Source organism: Homo sapiens, chromosome 3, assembly GCF_000001405.40.
Source record: "Homo sapiens chromosome 3, GRCh38.p14 Primary Assembly".
Lineage (NCBI taxonomy): Eukaryota > Metazoa > Chordata > Mammalia > Primates > Hominidae > Homo > Homo sapiens.
Window position 1 is genome coordinate 177,811 of NC_000003.12, and position 25,842 is coordinate 203,652.

At 39.6% G+C, this 25,842-nt stretch overlaps 1 protein-coding gene and 1 long non-coding RNA gene across 20 annotated transcripts in view; one reads left to right on the forward strand and one right to left on the reverse strand.

Moving 5' to 3' along the window:
• Positions 1-17,947: 17,947 nt before the first annotated feature.
• CHL1-AS2 (CHL1 antisense RNA 2) lies at positions 17,948-19,531 on the reverse strand. Of its 2 annotated transcripts, NR_144486.1 has the most exons (5): positions 19,157-19,531; positions 18,797-18,892; positions 18,646-18,698; positions 18,186-18,230; positions 17,948-18,104 (listed from the first exon to the last, which is right to left on the reverse strand). It is a non-coding gene; the product is annotated as a CHL1 antisense RNA 2 (long non-coding RNA). The 2 variants fall into 2 exon arrangements; NR_144487.1 differs by lacking the exon at positions 18,797-18,892.
• Positions 18,953-25,842, forward strand: part of CHL1 (cell adhesion molecule L1 like) — a 212,655-nt gene continuing 205,765 nt past the window's right edge. For 7 of the 18 annotated variants that reach the window (XM_017005566.2, NM_006614.4, XM_017005572.2 and 4 more), the window contains exon 1: positions 18,953-19,253. The gene's annotated coding sequence lies outside the window, so the exon portion shown is untranslated. Of the gene's footprint in view, positions 19,254-19,496; positions 19,559-20,078; positions 20,283-25,842 lie in introns of those variants that run through there. The other 11 variants (XM_006712938.2, XM_011533296.2, XM_011533294.2 and 8 more) reach the window with 2 other exon arrangements.

Consider the following 25,842-nt stretch of genomic DNA (forward strand, 5'->3'; position numbering starts at 1 on the left):
TACACTGACTACTGCAGGCAACTGTAAACCCATGGTATGCATCTGTGTTTCTAAGCATATTTAAACACAGAGACGGTACAGTAAAAATACAGTATTATACTCTTATGATACCACCGTCATATATGCAGTCTACATACCGAAACGTGGTGTTGGTGGGACATGATGACAGTCAAATTTGAATGAAAGCAAATATTAGGATGTGAGACTAGAAGCACAATTTGAAACATAAACTTCTCGGTTCTTAAATGACAGGCCTAAAAGTCTTTATTGGTCTTTATTTCATAGAGCAATTGAAATCTTTGCTAATTTTTGAAGTTAGTAAGATGTATTGAATATATAGGAAAGTAGATATGAGAAGAAAATTTAGAAGACTGTTACTAAAGTCGAGACAAAGGCCATGAGCTAGGGGGCACTAGAAATAGGAATGAAGGAAGAGAAATGAGAGATAATTATAGGATAAACTTAACCAGACCTAACAAATAAATATATAAGGCCATGCAAAGGAAATCATCCAGGGTCAAATGCTGGATGATTCTTGATGCCTGTCATGGGGCTGAATTGTGTTCCCCCAAAATTTATATGTAAAGTTTGACGCTAGCCCTAACCCCAGAACCTCAGAATGTGACTGTCTTTGCAGATAGGATCATTAAAGAGGTGACTGAGTTAAAATAAGCTCATTACAGTGGGTGCTAATTCGATATAACTGGTATCTTTATGAGAGAAGGAGGTTAGAACATGGACAGGCACAGAGGGAAGATCATGTAAAGACACAGAGAGAAGATAACCACCTACAAGTAAAGGTGAGAGGTGTCCAAAGAAACCAACCTTGACAACATTTGATCTTGGAACGCCAGCCTCCAAACTGTGAGAAAACAAATTTCTTTTGTTTAAGCCACCCAGTCTGGTATTTTGTTATGGCAGCCCTAAGAAATCAATAGAGTGTTATTCACAGAAACGGAGAAAATAAAAGTGGAGCATATTTAGATAGACACAGGTAATTAGTATAATCACAGGCAGGTTGACATGACTCAGGCTTTATAAATTAAGATAATAATGGTTTCCTAATGATCTGGTGCTTATGTTGAAAACATTAAAAGTATAATGCTATAATTTTATTTTGGGGAGAACACACACCTTGTATATTATATTCATCAGATAATTAATGTTAGCTACCATAAAAAGAAATTCTGCCCCTCTCTCAATCTCAATGGCTTCACGAAATAAAAACTTATTTTTTGTTTATATGAATTCACTATAAACATCCAAGTTGGTTCCTCCTTTTTTAAGAGTTAACTCGAAGAGCTTTCTCTCTTTTTTTCTTGTAGTGCTTTTTCCTTTGCTTCTAGCCACATGGATGGAAAGAGAGGTAACTTGAAGAATGGTTTTAAGGCTATGCTTGGAAGTGACACATATTTCTTCCTCCCATATTCTATTGGCTGGAACTCAGTCACATAATTCTACCCAGATGCAAGGCATCCTGGGAAGTCTAGTTTAGCTGTGTCCCCGGGAATAAGAAGATAATAGAATATTAATTTACACATGTAAACTTTGCCTTTTGGGCTACCAGACTTTTAGTGTGCAGAATTATACATAATGGGGAAAGGGAAAAGAGTAGCTAATTCGATATAGGGTATATTTCTATGAAGGTAATTCAGAAGACCATCTGGATTTAGAAATTTCTTCTCAACAATATAAAGATGCTTAGCAATCCCTAAGGTCCAGAACAGGCTTTGAGAAACTTTTTCTGTAAAGGAGTAGAAAATAAATATTTTGAGCTTTTGATGCCACATGGTCTCTGTGGAAACCACTGAACTCTTGTTACTGCAGCACAAAAGCATCTAAAGACAATATGTAAATAAATGAGCATGGCCTTCCAATAAAACTTTATTTACAAAATTAAAAAAAAAGGCAAACCAGATTTGGCTTACAGGCCATGGTGTGCCAACCCTTTTCACAGCATATTAGGTAATTTGTCATTTTGCAAGTATTTCATGCTTGTGCTCAGGTAATTGTGCATGGGCAGCGAGCCTAGCTAACTGCCAGCACCATCAACAGTGGCTTTGCCCATTATCCTCAGCAAACTAAAGCAGGAACAGAAAACCAAACACTGCATGTTCTCACTTACAAGTGGGAGCTGAACAATGAGAACACATGAACACAGGGAGGGGAACAAAACACACTGGGGCCTGTCAGGGGAGGGTGGCATTGTGGGGGAGTGGGGAGCATCGGGAAAAGTAGCTAATGCATGCCGGGCTTAATACCTAGGTGATGGGTTGATAGGTACAGCAAATCACCATGACACATGCTTACCTATGTAACAGAACTGCACATCCTTGGCCAGGTGTGGTGGCTCATTACACACCTGTAATGCCAGCACTTTGGGAGGCCAAGGTAGGCAGAGGTCAGGAGTTTGAGACACATCTGTCCAACATGGCAAAACCCTGTCTCTACTAAAAATACAAAAATTAGCTTGGCATGGGGCCACATGCCTGTAATCCCAGGTACTCGGGAGGCTGAGGCAGGAGAATCACTTGAACCCTGGAAGAGGAAGTTGCAGTGAGCAAAAATCACACCACTACACTGCACTCTAGCCTGGGCGACAGAGTGAGACTCCATCTCAAACAAACAAACAAACAAAAACCTGCACATTTTGCACATGTATCATGGGACTTAAAAAAAAAGAAAAAGTGGCATTGCTCTTTGCCATGCTCTAATTTACTTGGTCAAAGTACATGGAGTATCATTTGCCAAGAGAAAAAAAAACAAAAACAAAAACAAAAAATACCCTAAGTTACTTTGTAAAAACTGACCTTAAAATCAAAGATAACTACTTCAGTTGATTATGAAAGTAAAGAAGAAGTGAGGAGCCCAAGAAAATGGTAGAATATAGCTAGGAGATGTCACAGTTAATTTCTTTTATTTTGATTTGTCTCAGAAGAAGGGTGTTTTTTCTTGCCTGTAAAGATAACTTTTCTTGATTTCATGATTTCTTAAATCCAGAGGAATCTTTTAATCAACCTAATTTTTAGCTGTCACCTCCATTCTGTCCTTCTACACTGGCCAATCTCTTTTACATTGTAGTACATTGTAGGTGTCTTCTCATGATATTTCTGTCTCTAGTTTTTCCGATCTGCCAAACTGCACAACAAAGCACGTGTGAATCAGACAGATAGGAGTTTGAGTTCTCCAGTCTTTCACTCTTTAACCTTGTGACTCAGAAACTTCACTTTACATCCCTCAATCCTCAAGTGTTCATTCCTAAAAGTTGGCAAAGGCACAATATTAAACTCAAAGATTTGTTTGGTTTTGTCTAGATTAAATGAGTTAACCTATATACAGACCACTAAACTCAGTGTTTGGAACCTAGTTAAGAGCTTGATATTAGTTTATTAGTATTTTAATTTTTCAGTAATTCTATCCTCAATGCAATATGATTACTAGAACCCAAGTTGTACCAACATTTCTCTCACTAATGTCACCAATGGCTTTGTGGGGTGGGGGGGCTATAAAGGTTTTTATTCATTTAATATTGTTAAACATCACTTCCTCAGCATACTTCTTTGCTATACTGTTCACGTCACTGTACTCTGCTGTTTATCTCCTACCTTTATGACACTTCTTTCTTCATATAATTTGATGGTTTCCTTTCTCTGACTCCTAAATGAAATGCACAGAGCTTATTTCTGTACAACCTTGCTCCCCACACTCACTCTCATTAGAACTCTTTCTTTGCAGGGAATCTCAACAACCCCTGAGAACAAGTCAAACACATTCCTTACGTTCTGTTTTAAGCTCTCACATTTGCGACTCTTTATCTGCTATTTCCATGGGTGTATATCTCACCCATGACAAAGTATACTCCAAACCAAACTGATGACGTTTGAAACGTGAATAGTCTTGCTAAGTTACCATCATTGTTCCCATTTCCCAGGCTTGAAACTTTTGTCATTTTCTACCCTCCTGCATCTTCTTCTCTTGTATTTATTCAGTTCTCAAATCCTGCCCTTCCGTCAAAATATCTGCCCTTCCCTCATCTCCTTGATAAGGTCCTTAGATCTCATGCCTGAATTAATTTCTGCCCTAAAAGTCTATTTTTCCTTCCACCCACCTACCTATTCATCCATTCATTCAATGAGTATTAATGCTCTACCATGGGCCAAGCATCCTGAGGTCTCTACTATGAAAAATACGTGAAATATCAATCCACTCCTAGCTTTTCAGGGTATATATTCTCTTGGACGACAGTGGACATTGATAATGCACACATGCTATGGAATCAAATAGTCTTCTGTTAAAGTCTTGGATCCTTTATTTCCTACAACCTTAGACGATTGACTTAACCTCCCCATGACTCATTTTCTCATGTGTAAAATTTGGATAGTAATGGTACATCCTTGATAGATATTTTGTGACTATGAATTAGGTGGTGGCACATCTAAGCCTTCACACTGTGTCAAATATCTAATAAACCCTCAATAAATATTAACCATTATAATTATTACCAATAAAAGCAGAAAGGAACATTGTCATGACAAGGCTATGTGTGATTAAAAGCCAACATGAGAATTATCTAGAGTAGCAGTGATTCAAGGAAACTGAGGTGAGCTGTGACCCTTCTGGGGCCAGTTCAATGAACAACCCAACACAAAGACAGGTTTCATTTATGAGTGGTGCTGGGTGAGACTGTATATGGGGGTTGATGGCTTCTAATAATAAGCCAGGACCTGTCAACTTCCTCCTGTTCACAATGTGGAGACCGTTTAGATTTTGGAGTTGAAAAATAATGTGATAAAATCAGGTTTTTTTTTGTTTGTTTGTTTTTTTGAGATGGAGTCTCTCTCTGTCACCCAGACTGGAGTGTGGTGGTGTGATCTCAGCTCACAGCAAGCTCCACCTCCCAGGTTCACACCATTCTCCTGCCTGAGCCTCGAGTAGCTGGGACTACAGGTGCCCACCACCATGCCCGGCTAATGTTTTTGTATTTTTTAGTAGAGACGGAGTTTCACTGTGTTAGCCAGGATGGTCTCGATCTCCTGACCTCGTGATCCGCCCGCCTCGGCCTCCCAAAGTGCTGGGATTACAGGCTTTAGCCACCACGCACGGCCAATAAAATCAGTTTTAAAACAACTTGAAATCATAGAGCAACCCCTTATTCCTTTATGCATGCTTTGCCTGCCCTCTGTTAAGGTCAATTGCATAATATTTTTCCCATTTAAATATTGCATTTTTCCAAGTGGAATAAGAATGACTAGGTGTTATTTTGAGGATAGGAGATATTCAGCAAATACTTGATCATTTATTGAAATATAACTGTTTTGATTGAGCACAGAAGTAAGGAATTTTTGAATCACTTCCTTTTGTGAAGGTGCATTTATTTTGCCACTTTATTCCATGGCTACATTCTGTACCATTAGACTCAGGTTAATTTATCGTTAAAAATGCCTGTGGTGTTTTGTTTCAATGTCTACAAATGTCAACCAAGTCATCTCTAATACTTTAAAAGTAAATTAAACTCCAAATCAACTGATTATGATTCTGAGGTGCAGTCTTCACAATGATTAGGAACTTGATTATTTAGTAGAATTGTGCATAGGTGTGAACATCACCACTCTTTTCTGCACTGTGAGAAGAAATTACTTCATATAAATGGAAGCATCTTATTTGGCTCTATGTGGTGGTTTTGATGGTTTTTGACCAAACACTATGATTATAGAGGTCAATGAGCTATTTAAAATAGGTTCTGTCTCAGAATAAAATACATTTTGTTCATAACTTTGCCAGCTACTATGTCAAGCCTATATTTACTAAGGGCCTTCATGAAATGTCTGTTTGGAAGAATCAGTCTGTAATGGCAGTGATGTGTCAAGGAAAGACCAAACAGCCTTAGTGAATGCATTTTACCTGGTGTGGGTTGCACGTACCTGTAACAGGAAAGATTCCTTTGTCTTTGGGCAGTACAGTTAGGCTGGCAGGGTGGTGGAGGATTCTGCCTGTGCTTTCCAGCTCATAGCAGGATGTTCACTTTTATTTACTTCCTGAGTACCCTTCAAGCGGTACTGTTATCAGAGCTGCATTTGAGATGAAAGGGATCCCTATTATGGCCCAAACTGAAACTCTCCACAGGACACCTCTGTTAGGAAGGCAGGAATTCTTTCCAACTTTAGACACTGAAAGGAACTATTGCTTCTTTGTGATATGCAAGGTATTTTATATTTTTTACTTTGATATTTTAATGCTTATTACTCTAATCTCAGAGGAAATTTTAAAACATACTAATGTTCCATTTATTCCAAATATGTATAAAATAATTTATTCTTTTTCAAAGAGAGACACTGTGTTTACCATCTGCAGATTAGGTATGCATTATGTATGTACATAAGCACTTATGAACGAATGGATGAATGATGATTTAGGTGGTATTATAGGCTCTTCCTTTCTCCTAACATAATTTGCATAAACAGTGGTCTCAGAAATACATTTCCCCTGATTCTTTATTTGCAGAGCCCAGGAAATGCTTGCAAAGTCTGAGGTTCACAAAATGGATCTGGTTGGTAGTTGTGTGCCTGTGTATATCTTCCCATTTCTTTTAAATTCTTAATGACTTTTATGTAAGTTTACTTTACCACTTTGATCCCAGAATACCACATATTTTATGGCAGGGCTATTTATTACTTAAAGAATGTAAAATAAAGGTATAAAAATGTCTTCTAGGTGAGGCATTTTTAGTATATATTCTGTGTTTACTTTTTTTTTCTTTTTTCTCTTTCCATTACTTCTGCCTATTTATGGAAGCAATGTTTTAGGCTTGTTCTTTTCTGACTTTACTAATGCACTTTTCTGACTTTAATATGCACCAAAGTTGCCCTGTTTAACAGCTTTCTCTGTATCCTTTTACTAACGTTCAGTGTCTTGGGAACCAAGCGCAAAACAAAGTCATCCATCTTGAACTAATATACGAGCTTACACCTACTGACAGTAGTAAATACAAAATTGGTGATGCTCTCCACCACTGGAATTCCATTTAACTACCAATTCCCAAGGAGACTAATTCATTTACCAACGGATATGAACAAAACCACACTCACTATTTCAGAGAGCATATTGTATTTTCCCTCTTTCAGATAATTCTAACGAGGGGCTGTTCCACCTCACATCTTCGATCACATGGTGGTGAGAAAACCCTATAACTTAAAGGAGAGGAGTTTATTACAGTAAGTATAAAACAGAACAAAACAGCTGGGCTTCCACAGCACTTTATGGGAAACGTCTTCTGACCCTTCTATAAACAATTCCTTTGGTAAAGTCCCCATTTTATGTTGGTTTGCTCTGTCATTGGCGTAGAGTTATGGCTTGAGTAAATTCTTGTTGAGGGTTTCAAGGTTGGCATGGGAATGCCTTTCTTTTCGAGATCTTATAGTAGATGTGTGTAATTCATCAATTGTGGAACATATGCCATGCTTTATTCACAAACTTTGAGAGAAGTTAATTGCCAGCTATCACCTTCAAAATCTGGCACCAGAAATTGATATCTAAATCATTTGAGTAAAAATTAGTTTGTAAGGCTTTGCCAGTTACTCCTAGCAAATATATTAGCTTATCCAAATGAAAATAATTTTAGTGTGGTTTTATGATTTTCAAAAGCTTGTTATTTATGCTTCATTTCATATCTTGGTAAGCATTATAGGATTTCACTATATCTAAATTTTGGAGTGGGTGTGAGAATTAAAGACATAACTAAATTGCTGGAGAAAGTCAGGTTATAAAAATTTAATTTGTATTTTATTTGAGTAGCATTTAAAGGAAAAATGTGTTTTCTATATGTACATTAGACTTTTGATATTTTATGTGTGTTATAAAGCATAATATCCTCCATATATTTACTTTGTAAAGAAAAAAAGGTTATGAATATAACACAAACTTATTTATTCCTGTTCTCTTTTTAAATTGAACTGTTAACAATTACCAATGCCTTGAAAACTCACAAGAGTGCATTAGGCAATATACTTTCACAATTAATTGGTTATTAGATCATTAACAAAATTTTAAATGTTTTTTCTTCTGCTTATGGTACCCAACTGTTGCATAAAAGAACAGCTATGACACGTTATTTGATGAAATGCCAGTTTTAAAAAACCTTTTTTAGTTTAAAATAATTGTGTCTAGTCCTCACCTAATAATCAGCTGAAAGTTGTTAACTTTTATATTTGAGTCTAATTTTGAGAATAAAAATATAAGCTGCAGGAAAGTGTATTTTTTCATTAGATAAAGCAAATAACACATGTTTCATGTATAAGAATTTTGGTTGATTACCCTGTGTGTAAGATATTCTTCAATTAATCAGTTCCAGCTGTTTCCACAAGAAACAATTTTTCTTTGGGCATGTGTAATAGAAAAAAACACATCAAGTTGGGCATAATGTGTTTTTTTTGTATTTCCTCTTAAGCAATTCATTCAAATTTAGATAAATTTCAAGTTATTTTATTTTGAAGTAGGCAAGCTATATTTATTTCACTTTGTTTCAAATGCAAATGGTTAAGTGTTTTGCATTCTCATCAGTAAAGAGTCCTATGACTAAATCATAATTTAATGATCTCTTCCTAAAGAGATGATGCAAAATTTAGATCTGAGGAAAGGATTCTTATTTTTATCTATTTAGGCTGATCTTTCTATAAAATCTCTGCGGGCTTCCTTTGTTGTTCAAATCATAAAGATGAAATCCATATTGTGAAAGATAATGTATTTTATTATAGAAATATGGATTATTGAAATAAGTCTTCACATATGAAATGATATTTTATGCATTGTGATAATGTGCTTTTTCTCTGGAGTTAGGAAATTGTCTCAGTTTTATCAGAAACAAGAGTTAGGCCTTTTTATTTAAACTATCATATATAATTTAGGTAAACTGAAAGAAAAAATATTTTATATTTAGCAACATCTTTTCCATTTTCAGTGTTCTTTACTTCTTTATAAAGATCTGAGTTTCTATCTGGTATAATGTCCTTTCAGCCTTAAAAATGACTTTTAGTGTGTCTTACATATAGTGTAATTCTAATGATGATAATCCTCTTAGTTTTCATTTATCTGAAAATATCTTTATTTTACCTAAATATTTGAATATTTTCACTAGATAAAGAATTCTGGGTTGACGCCGGGCATGGTGGCTCACGCCTGTAATCCCAGCACTTTGGGAGGCCGAGGCGGGTGGATCACGAGGTCAGGAGATCGAGACCATCCTGGCTAACACGGTGAAACCCCGTCTCTACTAAAAACACAAAAAATTAGCCGGGTGTGGTGGCGGGCGCCTGTAGTCCCAGCTACTCGGGAGGCTGAGGCGGGAGAATGGCGGGAACCCGGGGGGCGGAGCTTGCAGTGAGCCAAGATGGCGCCACCGCACTCCAGCCTGGGCGACAGAGCCAGACTCTGTCTCAAAAGAAAAAGAATTCTGGGTTGACAAGATTTTTTTGTTTGTTTTTCTTTCAGAACTTTTAACTTGCTATAAACAGTATGTAATGTGTTGTTTTTCTCTCTGGCTGTTTTCAAGGTTTTTTTATTTTTATTTTTTGGCAGCTTGATTATTATGTTTATTATGTACTTAGGTGGGGCTTTCTTAGTATCATCCTTCTGAAGGTTTGCTGGGATCCTTGAATCTATTAATGCCTGATTTTCACCAAATTTGATAAATTTTCTGCCATATTTCTCCAATATATTTTTATGCCTCATCTCTCTTTCTTCTGTGGAAAATTCAATTACACACATGTAAAACGTTTTGAGGCTCTATACAATTCCACTCCCAACCCCCATCCCCAATCTTTTCTCTCTCTGTTTTTAAGGCTAGAATATGTCTATGGATCTAGCCTCAAGTATGCCAGTTCTTTTCTCTGTTATCTCAAATTTGCTGTTAAGCTAAGTGAAAATTTTAATTTCTGATATTATTTTTTCAATCCTAGAATAGCTTTCTGGTTCTTTTTTAAGAATTCTATTTTTCTGTTTAGGTTTCTCAATTTTAGGTTCATTTTGAAAAATATTAATATATTATTTTATTCCTTAAGCACAATTACAAGTGTGCTTTAAATTCCTTGTTTTCTAAGTCCAGTGTTTAGTAGGTCATCTCAGGGGTCATCTCCGTTGTCTTCTCTTTGAGTATGGAACACATTGTCCGGTTTTATCATATGTTGAGTCATTTTGAATTGTTTTCTGGTCATTGTAGAGATTTCAGAATCTGTCATGTGCTCCAAATTATATTAACTTCTGTTTTGACTACCAGGCAGTAAATGTAGCAGAAATCAAACTATAGTGTCCTTTAAAGTGGATGGTTGCTGAAATCTCAATTCAATTCTTTTAACCTCAGCAGAGCTGTTTGGAGACTGTCTTGCTGTCTTAGTTCTGGCTGCTGTAACAGAATACTATAAGCCAGGTGGCTTATAAACAACAGAAATGTATTTCTCAAGGTTCTGGAGGCTGGGAAGTCCAAAATCAAGGTACTGGAGGATTTGTTTTTTGGTGAGGGCCAGTTTCCTGGTTTATAGGCAGCCACGTTCTCCCAGTGTCCTCACATAATGGAAGGGGTGAAGGAGTTCTCTGGGACTTCTTTCATGAAGGCACTAATCCCAGTCATATGGGCCCCACTATCCTGATCTGATCACTCCCCAAAGGGTTCATCTCCAAACACCATCTCATTAAAGATTAAGTTTCAACATATAAGTTAGGGGGCAGGCACATATATTCAGTCTATAGCACCCACTGATGCATGTTTCAGAGGATAGCCAGGGATTGGGCATCATTTACACATAGAATATGGGGCTTTCTCCTTGACTGATTTCTCCTCAACATTTTCCAGTTGCTCTGTTGCCCAAGCTCCGTCCCTTGCTTCTTCAAGCCAATAACTGCAACTTTACTTTCCTCGTTTTATCCACCTAGAATGGGCAGACTGGGTCTTGATCTTCCCTAAAAGCTGTAAAATAGGAAACTTACCCAGTGTTGTTCCCTTCTTCCAGTTGTCTGCCCCCTTCACTATCTGCCTGTTTTGGATTACTTTCCAGTGTTTTCAGGTACTTACATTTTATATTTTGTCTATACTTCGTAGTTGTTTTGTTTTGTTTTGTTTTGTTTGAGACAAAGTCTTGCTCTATCACCCAGGCTGGAGTGCGGTGGTGTGATCTCGGCTCACTGCAACCTCTGCCGCCCAGACTCTAGTAATTCTCCTGCCTCAGCCTCCTGAGAAGCTGGGATTACAGGCGTGCACCACTGCGCCCAGCTAATTTTTGTATTTTTAGTAGAGATGGGGTTTCACCCTGTTGGCCAGGCTAGTCTCAAACTCCCGACCTCAAGTGATCCACCTGCCTTCGTCTCCCAAAGTGCTGGTACTACCGGTGTAAACTACCACACCTGGTCTATACTTCATAGTTTTAGGGTTGGTTGGTTCTGAAAGGACCCATTATTAGAAATCTATAACTTCACATTGGAAAGAGTTCTCATATTACAAACCTTTGAAAACATAATTTTATTGGCTGCTTCATTACAGGATTGCAGAATAATCTATTAGTTTAAACAATGTGAAATTGTCATTTTTCCAGGTCAGAAATGCTCAGATAATGGTAATTTCATATGGTTTAAACTAGTAATTATGTTCTTAGATATTTATAATTTATTTTATCATTGAATATCTATGGGAATATAGAGTTTCCTGTAGTTCAGTTTGCTTACATCGTATAGAGTGTTAGAAGGAGAATGCCTGGGTCTAAATTTATGTACGTCTTTAAACCCCTTCAATATAATTGCTATTTTTGTTATTAAATTGTAATGTAAATAACATGTAATTTTTTTGTAAAATGGTTGCATACATTAATGATATTTAATATGGCTTTCATCCTACAATCGTGTCATGCAATTACATTTTGGCTTTACTATTTTTTCTTTGGCAAAATATTATCAAGTTATTTAATTGATTTGTGTTTGTTCCTTATTATCCACACTGAATATATTCATTATGGTTGTTAGCTTCTCTACTTCATCTTTGGGTAAATGTATCAGAATATTTTAAGTACCCAGAAATATTTGAGACTTTCATCATCAAATTTCCTCCTTTATCCATATTTAAGACTTTAAAATCTGCTTAAATTTAGGAATTTCTAAAAATAATTTCAAATTTTATCTTAGATTCAGTGGGTACATGTGCAGGTTTGTTACATGGGTATATTACATGGTGCTATGGTTTGGGGTGTGAATGATCCTGTCACCCAGGATCATCGAGCATAGTACCCAGTAATTAATTTTGCAATCCTTAGTCCCCTCCTCCCCTCCCTCAGCTACTAGTTCCCATTGTCTAGTGTTGCCATCTTTATGTTTATGGGTACTCAATCTTTCACTCCAAGTTGTAAGTGAGAACGTGGTATTTGGTTTTCTGTTCCTGCCTTGATTTGCTTAGGATAATGGCCTTCAGCTGCATCCATGTTGCTAACGAGGACACAATTTTGTTATTTATTTTATGGCTGCATGGTATTCCACGGTGTATACATTTTCGTATCCAATACACTGTTGATGGGCACCTAAGTTGATTCCATGTTTTTGCTATTGTGAATAGTGCTGTGATGAACATATGAGTGAATGTGTATTTTGGTAGAACTATTTATTTTCCTTTGCATGTATACCTAGTAACAGGATTGCTGGGTTGAATGGTAGCTCTGTTTTAAGTTCTTTGAGAAATCTCCAAACTGCTTTACACAGTGGCTGAAATGATTTACATTCCCAGCAACAGTGTATAAGCGTTTACTTTTAGGAAACTTTTAAGATGGCTTCTATATGCAAGTAATAATATTTGAAAATGTGTTCTATATTTGTATTATTGTGCATTCACTCAGATACAGAAAAAGGAATCTAAGTCAATAAGTGTTTCCTGTTTGGAGAAAACTCAATATATGGGCAATACAAGTGTTATATATAAAGCTCTTGCCTGGTTATGTGACCTTAAGTGTTGTAGTATGAGCTGGCACAAAACTCTCTAAGTGAGAAACAGAAAGGATATGGCATAAGAGAGAGTAACTAATCCCCATAAGATAAGGCAAATTTTTCATGTCAATATAAACAGACGATTTGGAACCCTTGCTGTGGGCTTACTGTACTGTGGCATAGTGCTTTGAATGCCTAAGAAGGTTTGTCTGTTTATCATATTCTGAAAAACAACATGAAAATAATAAATTGATAGGTCTCATTTAACCCCTGGAAGACAATAAATCCAATGCAATGCTTGTAAAAAAACTGAGTTATGTTTGTGTTAGCACAGTGCATCACATACTAGCAACCTGTGATTTCAGTACATGTCTGCTAATTAATTTATTTTGTAGGAAAATAAAGTTAATTGAAAGCATGAAATATGGTTCCTAAACTATGCATGGAGAGGGCTAATTGGTCCATGGCTTTTTAAAAAAACGGATAAAAATATGCCTTAAAAGGATGTCCTATTATACCTTAGTTCAAAAGAATAAAGTCCCCACCCATGTCTAAATGTATGCTAAACCTTAAGAATATCTTAAAGCAAGAATAGTAAATACCTAACACATGAGAATTATCTTTTGTATAATATCTGTGATAGAAAACATTAGTAGGTCACTTTAACCTTTCCTGCTCAGCTCCGATGCAGGGTCAGGATCCTTTGGACACAGTGTTTCAGTAAGTCACTACCAATCAGTTAGGTTAGTTTATGAAATGAAGAGTTTTTTTTGCCATGTATACACCTCTTACTAAACAACCTATAACAAGAGAATAATCTTACCTAGAAATGTACCACGAAGAAGAATTATTTTGATTTTAAGAAACAGGAAACCATCGAAACTATTTTACATGAAACATTTTTTTGTCTCACCCGGCTACAAGGTCAAGTTGTATTCCAGTTTCAGCTTTTAATAAAAAATAACCTTTCAGTTTATTTGAAGATCTAGGTCTTGGAATATAATTCTCAAGTATCTGTCTCTCTCCTCTTTTCTCTATGGTGACTTTATTCTCAGGAAGGCTCTTTCTAAGTGGTGATAAGAAGAAGGGAGTTTCTCCTGCCTTATGTCATACCTCTGAGCAACCCTCAGTTTTTTCCTAGTAGCTCATAAATCCAAGGTAGGTTTCTCATTGGCTTCTGTTGGGTCTGATGCCCTTCATAGCTTTAGTCCCCATAGACTTAGGAGTAGAAAATATTGGCTGGTCGTGCCTGGGTCACATGGACCAGGGGTAACTAGAAAGCATTGGAATTAGCCTCAATTCGGCCACATAAACATAGGAGATATTATTCCCTAGGTCCAACCAGGCTAAATGAACGGAGATAAATGCTTGGCAAGCAAAAAACAACAGGTATTCGTGGTAGCTTCCATTCTTATTTTTCTTAACTATTCTTCTGAAATTGTTCTGACGACAGAGATTACAGTTGCATTAAGGATAAAGTTTAAGCAGTTATAATAAAAGTCTCCAAAGGAGATTGGCTCAAATTGAAAGGGGACATTCAATTTTTTATGGTATTAAGTAGGTTCTGATCCTCAGAGTCATGTAGGAATTCAGGCCAGAGTGGGGTTTCTTTGTCATCCTCAACATGAGCCTTTTACTACTGTGGGTTAGTCAAAAGGAAAAGGAGAAGTGAATCTAGATGATCTTTAAGTAGATGAGCTGAGAGTTGCCAACAGCATTTTTCCTCATGTCTCTTTGGTGAGAACCTAGTCCTAGAACCAAACTAAGTCAAAAGAGTGACTAGAAAATTTAGTCTTTAGGTTAGCGGCCCTGTGTCCAGAAGGAGAAAAAGAACTAGGCCGGGCGCCATTGGCTCTCGCCTGTAACCCCAGCACTCTGGGAGGCCGAAGCGGGCGGATCACGAGGTCAGGAGACCATGCTGGCTCACATGGTGAAAATCAGTCTCTACCAAAAATACAAGAAGAAATGAGCCGGGCGGGTTGGCGGGCGCCTGTGGTCCCAGCTACTCCCGGGGCCGAGGCGGGAGAATGGCGGGAACCCGGGGGGCGGAGCTTGCGGGGAGCCGAGGTCGCGCCACCGCACTCCAGCCTGGGCGACAGGGCCAGACTCCGTCACATACAACAACAACAAAAACAACAAAAAACAGATTAGTGGGCAGAGGAAGTGGAGAACAACCTGTGGCTGCCACAAGCTCTTGTTGGTCTTTCCTTTTTCTCTAACATGTTTCTGTTACATTGAGTGGAAAACATACTTTCAAAAACAACTGGAAAAAAAAAGAAAAGGAGAAACTTCATTTTGGCTATGTGTCTCTGTAAAAAGATCAGCCTTTATGCTCCTGGTATTACTCGCTATCCCACTATTCGACATTTGTCTTGTTTGCTGCAACAGAATAATAATAAATAAAATTATCTTCAAAGATGGCAGTGACTTTTCATCCTGTAAAATGATACAAGATTAAAAACTTGGAGATTTTTTTCAATATATTCTCGGCCATTAACCAGTTGTACAACTCTGATAAAATTTCTGAACCTTACTCTTTTCAGATATAAAAAGAAGCTATGGAAGATTATGTTTTCTGAGGTCCCTTCCAGACTGAAAAGATTTCGTACCATGTTGGAAATAGAGAGGTTTAGAAGAAATTCTCATCCTCCAGACATATGAGGACTTTCTCCAACAAATAGGAATTCATCCTATAACTCAGTTCACAGGCCTTTGAGATAAGACTTGGGGGCATAGGACTTTGGAGCAAACCATCAATAGGAGAGAAAACTAGTCATTGTAGGCATTGCTGATTGGAGGGTGGGAAATCCTTCTGACCTGCACAAGTAATCAATGGATGCCTTAAAGCATGAGATTTGAAAACACTTAACATTATCTTGGCTACATAATTATAATGTTATTAATGGCCACAAAGTTTCTTAGCCTTTTTAAAAAATCCAGTGAAAGTATTTGATTTCATGACCTCCCAGGGCTGAATTATACATATTAATGATCCATGGCATGCAATACAAGATTTTACCTTTTTAGTTGTTCCAGAATTATTGCCCTTTGATTTTTAATACATATCCTTTTGTTCTTGTATTAAAGGACAAGTTAAAGGAGTAGTGACTCTGTCAGGATAACTCTGCAGAATTAATATGGTCTTTTTAGCTTTATTAATATCAAAGCTGAAGTGGCTGCTTTGTACTTTCAAGGTTGCTTTTGAAGGATCTATTCCTCAGTGGAACATCCTGCTTCCTGCTTTTTATTTTTTATTTTTATTTTTTATTACAGCAGTTGGCCGGAAAGCCCCTGTTGATCTGTGACTATTTGGAACTGCTAGACTGAAATGCCATTTTCAAAACTCCAGCTCTTCTGCTAAACAATTTTTCTAGGAATGATGCCACATCACTAGCTACTTGTATTTGCCAAAAGGCAATACTACTTCAATGGCCCTAGCTCTGGGAATGATACCAAATGATGGTTCAGGAGGGAGGGAGGGAGGCAGTAAATCAGCAGGAAAAGCTGAAAAATGCCCCAGCTTTTAATAGCTTTTATCTTTTTCCAGATGACTGGCCTCTCTCTCACCTTCTGCTTCTATTCATGATAGGGCCCTTTTCTCCCCTATTTTTGTGGCTTGATATTAGTATTTTCATTCGAAACGGCCGTCCTCAATTATCAGAGAGAAAATTCACACCTTTCAAAGCTACGGCAATCACATTTCCATGTGACTCATAAGTATATCTTCTTTCTCTAGCACCTAGGTGCAACTGTGGGATGCCTGATAGATTAGGATTGTATGTTGAATGGGAAATGGGTCTGAACCAAGTGTCAGACAGTAGAATGGGAGCCAGGGGAGGGTTCCAAAGCAGCAGCAGAAGGTATCTCTAGCAAGCATCCGCTCTGGCTGGGGACTGTCTTCTGGTTCCAGCCTTACTGGAAGCTCAGGCTGTAGAGTTGTGAATTCCTGGGGCCAGGCAAGCCTAGATGTGTTGCCTGCTTTTGATAATGTATCAAAAATATGAACTCATCCTTGGAAGCGACAGCTATGAGGTGTTTCTTGGATGTAGAAATTTAGGTCATCTGTCTTCCTTTTGCATTGCCTTAAAAAGTACGATTTCCTTTCTTGGTTTATCATTTGCTGGCCTTCTTTCTTTCCATCCTTCCTCCCTTCCTTCCTTCCTTCCTCCCTTTTTTCCTTCCCTAGACTTTCCCTATCTCCCTCTTTTCTTTCGTAAAATTTGGTTGCCTGGGATAACGTGTATTGCATACAAGCTGACTTCCTTACTGTCCCTAGTAAGCTATGTGTGGCTATTATTTCTTCATTTATATGCAATGCCAGAAGCTTAGAAGAATGTTATCTCCCTTTCAGTTAAAAACTCATAGTTAAGAACTGGCCATCTTCTTGTTTTGGGTATTGTGGCTTGGTACTGTCTAATATATTTGGAGGGTATTTGATTTTTTAAAAAGCTACTGGCCATGCCTATTGAGTTTCCTACTGAGCCCAGCACCCAGACCAGTGATTGATTAAATAGTAGCTGCTCAATAAATATTTGTTTTGTAAATAATGATTCTATTGTCAAGAAACAAATCACCAAGAAAGAAGGAGCTATATATTTAAGAGTACTCTGTTCATCTGGCCAAAATGGAGTTCCGAGTCCCTTGCTCAGCTGATGTTTGTTCACCCAGAAGATGGTAAACTCCTGAGACCAACTTCGCTTTGTTGTTCTCTTGTGGTTCCTTGACCTTGGAAATGTTTTTCTACAGGCAGAGTATTTCCCCCTGTTGGAATTTTATTTAATATTCTATCTTTGTTTCTACTTTAGAAAACATGCCACGTGAATAATGATGCCTCAGGCAAAAGAAATCACTCCAGCAGTACAATTTAAACTTAGGACAAATCCTGCCCTCACTTGCATTCACAATTTGCCAAGGCAGTTGGTAAGAACTGTGCCCACACACAAATTGACAGAATCGAGGCCCCAAGGTTAGCGATGATTAAAATTTAAAAGTCCATTCATTCATTTTCAAAATATTTTATTCGATTGCTTCTGAGGCAGAATCATGAGTTGCCTTCGCTTTTGCTGCTCCCGGTGGTGGCATCCAACTCTGAGGATAGCTCATCCAACTCTGAGGGTAGCTCTGAGGGGAGCTAAATATCCTCATTGTTCAATGAGCTAGATGAAAACAAAACGAGGCTGTAAGGTCAATCTCACAGCCTTAGTGGAGTAAAAATTAGAAGTCAATAATTCTCTTACCAACAAAGAGGACTTGCATTCAACAGGATTTTCAAAAGTGGTATCCTGTAAAAATTTTGGAAAATACCACCATAATGGAAAAAAAATAAAGTGGCATATAAATCAAATGTAGTGCTAAAAATTATAATTTTTCCATATGAATTTTGGAATCCTAAAATATTTTTATGTGTTTGTGGATTCATAAGGCATCAGAACTGGCTTTTTGCACTGAATATGAGTACAGAAGGCTTTCCTCTCCAATAGTGAATTAATAAAGGATAAGTAGGAAAAACGTTACGAAACGATGTGGTAACATTATAGACTCTGTATTAGGGCAAAAATTGTGAGATAGTAGAAGATCTGTAAATTTAAGCATGCACAATTTGACAGCGGATGGTCGTAGCATATTTTGTAAATTCAATAGCAAGCCCCACCACGCCCTTAAATGAAGGAAAGCAAGAAGACAATTTTTAATACGTACATGGCACCACACCCCTCTAAGACGCAGCAATGGGAGAAAAGCAGATTGGCGACCTGTGTGTGCAACATGAACCGAGTGAAACCATCGGGGAGGGGGTGGGGGGCGTTTCTTTTAAATGTCGCTTTTGCAGATAAACGAGCAGGGATCCTACCTCTTTTGACCGGAGATGTTGAAAAGCACGACCAAAGTTTTTGGCTTGGTCTCTTGCTTTCCACAACGAGATAAAGTCTGAAGCCTGTAACTCTCCCTGTCCCGCGGGAGCGTGCAAAGGGAGGGAAGATAAGCGGCGTGGGTGAGGGGTGGCGGCGCAGAACCCAGGAAGGGAGCAGAGGCGAGAGCCAGCCTCCGGCAGGAGGGCGTAGACCCCGGTGCCAGCCAGAACGGCTCCAGCCTTCCCGCGGCCAGAGAGCCAGCGGCGGGAGGGGACGGGCGGGACCTCCGCGGACAGCCCCGGGTGCGGACCAGCGGGCAGCGGCCGGCGAGACCCTCCCTGGATCCGCCCAGAGCTTACCGGACCCTGCGCGCCCCCGTCCCGGCTCCCGGCCGGCTCGGGGGAGAAGGCGCCCGAGGGGAGGCGCCGGACAGATCGCGTTTCGGAGGCGGCGCAGGTGTGTCAGGGGTGGGGGTCCGCTGGCATCTCTCGTGCCGGCGCTGGGGGGGTCTCCCGTGGAGGAAGGGCTGAAGGTGCTCCGGGAGGGGTCCACTCGTTATGGAAAGGAAGCGGGGCGCGGTCAGGGTCCCTCGTCCGCAGTGGGGGTGGTCCGGGCCCCTCAGCCTGCACCCGGGAGGAGACGCCCCCTTTTCACGCCCCGCCCCCGGTGGCCGAGGCCGGATTCGGACAGCTCGGGGTCAGTCGACGGAGCACACCGGGCGCCCGAATCCGCCGGGTCCCACTCACGCCCGCCGGCCGCCGGTAGGTTGGCCCTCCCGCTTCCAGCCTCCGCCACCCCATCCCTCGCTGCTCTCTGAGGAGGATTCCAGACCCCCCCGTAGATCTCCGCCCTCTCTCGGGTGGGGCTCCGAGGTCTAGCTGGTCTGGGGGTCAGTCCCGGCCTCTGTCTCCCACCGCGCCCCTCGCTCCCCTGGACACCGCCTGGTGTGTGGGGCTCAGACCCCCCCAGTCCACTGCCCCTGTGTGGCTCCTCCTCTCAGGAGAGGATTCTAGATCCCAGCCCGGGGGGGGTTCCGAAAATGCCGCCAGCCTGGAGCGGGGAATCCATGGACCGTGGGGTTGTGGGGTTGGGGAGCACGAAAACCCAGAGAGGGGCTAGAGCTCCACCTCCCCAGACCGCCGAGGGGCGAGAGGGCGCGCCGGGGGCCGTGGTTGCCATGGCTCCTGGTAGCGGAGCCCGGGGGGCTGGAGATGCCGGTCGCGGATGGTCCCTTCTTCCTCTTTGTGCCTCTCTCTTTCTCTCGCTTTTTTTTTTTTTTTGGAGTGTGAGTGTGCGTGGGGAGGCAGCACGGAGAAAGTGATTAATTTGGGGAGCAGGGATTGGAGCCGGGAGGCTGGGGAAAGCCAGCCCCTCCGTTCCCACTCTCCGGGCTCGCTGCGAGCCACAGTGTCTCAGCCAGGGGCAGGGCCGGGGAACTCCTGCGAAAAACCACGGGCCGGAGGAGCAGCAGCCGCGCGGGCCCAGGTACCCCCGCCCCAGACGGCCAGCAGGGTGGAGCGCAGGGTGGGCGTTTGGGCTGCTGGGCGGGAAGGCGGGCGGGGAAGGGGTGGGAGGCCGGCGGCGGAGGGCAGGTGTGCGTCGGCAGGGCTGGGTGGCCCGGCAGAGAGGGCGCCCCAGGTTCAGCCCCTCCTCGAAGGGCGCCGGCGTCCAGTCCCGCTCGTGGGAGCCGCGGAGCAGCCCCAGGGCCGGCGAGCGGCTGCCCTGCCAGGCGCGTGCGCGAGGGCGCGCTCCCGCGGGAACGCGCCGTGCGCGGGGAGATTTGCGCGTGCGCGTGGCGATGGTAACTGGTGGGCCCCCCGGGCTCGCTCTAGGCGGAGGCTCCCGGGACGCCCACGTGGCTTCGAATTCCAGCTCCACCATCACTGTGATGCGTCACTCTGGACTAGGCATTTAACTACGTGCCTCAGTTTCCCTTTCTCAATAATACGGAGATTATCGATACCCTCTATACTGGGTTGTTGCAAGACTGGAATGAGATGATACAAGTAATTTAACACCATAGATTTTTAAATTTAACACCATATGCATATTTGATGCATAATAAGCACTCAAAAGTTATTGTCGTTGATGCCATTACTGTTAGTTAATCCTCAGTTTAATTACATATGGTGCATTTTCATTTCTCTGCATTTTCATTGAAGTAAAAATTCTGCGTTTTCTAATTTTGGAGAATAATCTTAATTAAAATATGAATATTTGTACTGCACAGTCCAACTCCTACGAAGCTCTGCCTTGCAGCAGATTGGAAGAGAGAAACTGATCAACTGCCGATGAAGTTGGCTTTTCAGTATATTGATGGAGAGAGAAGCTTAGGAAGCTCTTTGGGGAAACTTTTGGTGACAAGAAAATAAAAAGTTTATCCCAGAGTTTTTCTTTTGTAAATCTTTGTGTTTTCTCTTTCACCTGCAGATGTTGCAGTTGGGTTTGTCTTAATTTCAGTCTCTTTGTGAGGGACCACCATTTGGCTTTCATAATTTAACGTGGTTACAGAGCCTATGTATACCCTGGCTTTCCATTTTATGGCCTTAAGTGCTGCAGTGGATTTACCTTTAGTAATGGCAGAACGTAGTGTATAATCATTCCTTGCAAGCTCCTGAATATTGTGAGCAAATCAATGGAGACAAATAGTTATTACTGGATGGGTGTGAGTACTGGCTATGGCAACTCATTAAAATCTCTTTCAGGGTATGTTTGTACCCACTTCACTGCAGCACAAGACTATGATGATGAATATATGTTTCCCAGATTGTTATCTGTTGCATGTAGACTTACGGATCCTTTTCTTCAAAGAAACGGCTATAGATATTTATTGATTCCTCATGGTTATATAGGTCCTCCAACCTATCTGCTGATAAGTACACTGTACACTTCGTGGGCCTAGCTGTAGGTCTAAGAGGAGTTGATTTTGCACATACTATACTTATTGCATTTAAGTTAATTCATCTCATTACATGAATTGGTTTTAAATAAATTTTTAAAATCATTTGATTATTAAAATATAGGCATTTCTTGGTGAACTTGAGGCAAGTAAAGCCTGACAGATGTCACCATCACAAAGATCCTTAGTGACCTTTACAAAATAGAGCTCACCCAGAAAAACATTTGCTAGATAGAAACCTGATTTTATAGTTGCTTCTGAAATCTTTGAAGATAGGAGGTTATTTGCCCCAAAATTGCTTTGTTGAAATAATTTAGCCTGATTCGCTTTTATAGAAAAATAAGGGTAACGATCAAGACTGATTTAAGATTCTTGTATTTTTAACCGATAAAAGAAAATTAAGTAATAGTTGGGGAACTACTGGTGTCAGATTTGAAGGAATGATTGTCAGGAAATACTGAGAGTATTACTTCAGGTAGCAGTGTTTGGCTTTGCAAGACAACCCTCTCATCCTCACTGTGAATATGTCATCTTTAAAAGGTACCTTGAGGAATTAGTGTGACAGCTTCTCTGAAATTCATGTGATCATTTACATATTGTTTCCCAGGAGCTTTGGCATTAAATGTTTCATTTATTGGAAATTATTTTGCCCTTTAATTTATGACAGCCAACAGTGCAATAGAGTCTAATGTATTTTAGAAACAATAAAATTAGCTTTTCACCATTTTCTATTTTCCCTAAAAATCTAGCAGCAATGCACTTGGAATGCTTAAGTTAGTCCAGAGACAAATGGTAAGAGTAGGAAAACATGACAGATTGGGAGGTGTTGAGTTCTGAATTTGGGGACCTAATTGAAATGCAAAGGTATAATCAAGAGAATGAACTTGTCTCTGTACTGAGGTTGTTTTCAGTGATGTACTATATTATCTGATTCAGTCAACGTTCCTTGTTATTTTTTCAAACCAAGATTGAGAATACTATATTTTCAATTATGAACATTTTGATTACAGTTTCATTCTGACTAATTCAGTCGGAAGAGAATGCAATTATTATGGTCATTTACATACAATATGCTAAGTTAACACAGCTAATGAGTGAAAGCATAATATTCTTTCTGTTTGTTCCTGGAAAAATATTGTGCTAAGCATTCTTTCAAAGAAAGATTACATTATTCGCTATCATTTTATGTCTATCTACAAGTAGAATTGGCATTGAGCCTTTTCTCTGCTATTAAAGTGAAATCTCTTATATTTTGGTGATCACATGCCTTTCCTCTCACCCCTTGGGGGAGACTGGAAACAATTCTCAATTTAATTAGATATGCTGCTTTCTTTTTTCTGTACATCTTTATCTGAGGAAAGATTGTATTTTCTAATTTGGGAGGCTGCTTAACACCTTAAACATTACTAATTACTGCAGTTTATTTTATGTGTGTCGCAATAGTGTAGTTAGTTAATTATAGCTTTCTCATTAGCACCACGTAGAGAATAATGAATTAACACATCCCTTTGATCAAAAAGGATTTAAGTTTATCTTCTGAGAATAAAAGTGTTATTGTGTTACTGAAAGTCACTATAATTTTCCCAAGAAACAAATTGGTTGGAATTCTGTATCACTGGGTTAGGAAGCTCAATGAATGAGTTGGATTGATCACAAAGTAGAGTAGAGCTGTGGTTGCTTGGCAACCTGACATTATTCTGCCATTTCTGGTATATTTATCCAGTAAACTAGAAAATTCTGTTTCGTTAACGAATGTTTTAAGTCAGTGCACAAATAGACCATAACTAATTGAGATTTTATGTGTTGTGGGTAAAAAATGATCCTGCTTACCTTCTCATTGTGTTTAGATCATAAAAATACAAAGGGACATATTCCGTTTTCAATTTTAAGGCATTTTCCTGAAATGTTGACTTCACTTTCACATAATTTATTCCTAGTGAAGAATACAACTTGTGTATCTCTTTGGAAGTTAAATTATTAGAAGTGTGTGTGAGTGTATATGTGTATGTGTGTGTGCGTGTGTGTGATGCTTATATACATAATTTCAATAAGAATCACAACTAGAGTTTGAGGTGAGATGAATTCTCAAAATTCATAGTTTGCTAATTGAACTGACAGTTTGGTACATTTAGGGTGGGTATAAATATCTGAATCAAATGATGCTGGCAGATGATGATAAGAATGATAAATGCATTGAACTTGGTCAATATATAATTATATTTTATGCTTTGACCAGGGTTTCTTCTCCTGGTAGTCTTATAACATTCTCCCTTCTAATGTTTGTTTGCATCTTATTTCCCCTATAGTTGTGGAGGTAGGAGCTCTGTTGCCCATCTTCTGATTCACCTCTTCCTAACTCCAGGGACTACAATTGTGCCATTTTCCTATACAACCTATGAATTTTAGTGTGCATCACAATTTCCTTTTCAGACTGTAAACTCCTTGAGGGTATACATTTCCTTTTATGCATCTCATAAACTCTTAAAGTGTCTGGCACAGCAGGAAGCGAACTGTTGTGGTGGTTACATGCACTGGCTATAAAAGTCAGGCTGCCAGGGTTCAAAATCTAAGTCTGTCAGCTTGCAGGTGTGTGGCATTGGCTTAGTCATGTTGACCTCTCTAAGACTAGTTTCTTCTTTAGAAACGGGGAAATAGCCATACTTAGCTCACATGTCACATGTGTTCTTGTGGACATTGTATGGGGCAATCTATGCAGACAGATTAGTAGCACGGTTTTTTATTGTAGTGATAATTATCCTTCTATATCATGTTCAGTATGTGAATGAACAAAGATAGAGGGACAGAGCGTATGTGTGTGTGTATCCCTGTGTATGTGAATAACTGTGAGCCATGATCAATGGTGGTGTCAAATGGCAAACTGTTGATTCCTACATTAATTATATGCACATATACCAATAATGATTGCTTCACATATTTAAAAGGTTTTCGCAATAGTTGTTCTTAGGCTTGGCTGAAATTAGAATCGTCTGGAGAGTTCTGTAAAGCTACCAACCCAAATCAATTCAATTACAGTCTCTGTGGATGGTGACTAGAAATCTGGATTTTTGAAAACTTCTAGTGCGATTCTAACACGCCCTAATGTACCAATATTGGTTAAGAACCATCACCTTAGATTTGCGTACGCCGTCCACAAGATTGTGTTGGGCTAAGGCATTGGTTCACAGTCACCCTGGTGTCATGAAATGTGGCTGAAAGAGAAAAAATGCTCTGGCAAACTTCTGAGGTTTTTCTTACTAATCTTCTTGGTTTAAATAGCACTTTATTCTCTGAAGATCTCAAATGTGCTTTTCATTTACTGTGTATAATTTCGTTTTTCAACCAAATGTCTCTGTGAAGATGGTAGGAAAGAAGTAATTATCCTGATTTGCAGATGAATGTGAATGGAGTGAGCTACACTGAAATTAAGTGATTTGACTAGATTCATACATTTAGAACAGGCCCAGATAACAAGATTCCTGTGACTTTGGGGTTTTGAATATTTCTCTGTTTTGCCTGCAGACTTCCAATGAGGTAGGGAGAGTTATTGTTTTTGGACTAAAGTACTGTGTCAGAAAAAGCTTTAAAAATGAGACTTTCATCCTTTTTTTGGTTATAATTGTGCAGTGTAAAGAAAAACAGATTTTTATTTTCTTTCTAAGAAGAGGCACCATAGTCTATATAGGAGCCAAACCAATGTCCCTTGGACTTTGAACACCGCTTGTATAAATATTTCATTTGGCCCAAAGAATGTTTAAGACAAATTTCAGCCAACATTTAAATACTGGAGATTTCATGTAAAATTCATATTTCTGGCTTATCTTAAAAGGATTGATGTTCTCACAGTATTGGACCTGAATGCCCAGGTGGCAGAATGCCACAGGTTAGAACCCAGTGGTTTGTCCCCTTGATGTTCTTGAAAGACATATCTTCGCTGGGTAAAACATGGCTTCCTCTCACCTTCACTTTGTTCCTTTCTTTTATATAGATCCTACTCCAAAGAGGTAATTAAGGGACCTTAAAGACGGGCCCACATCTCTTTGGATGGGATTAGGGGAAGCCCACAAGGGCTGCTGAAGCACATCTGGAGCTGTTACTGCCCCTTGTCCTGAAGGGATAATGGGAAGGTGAAGTTCCTGGAAGGAGGTG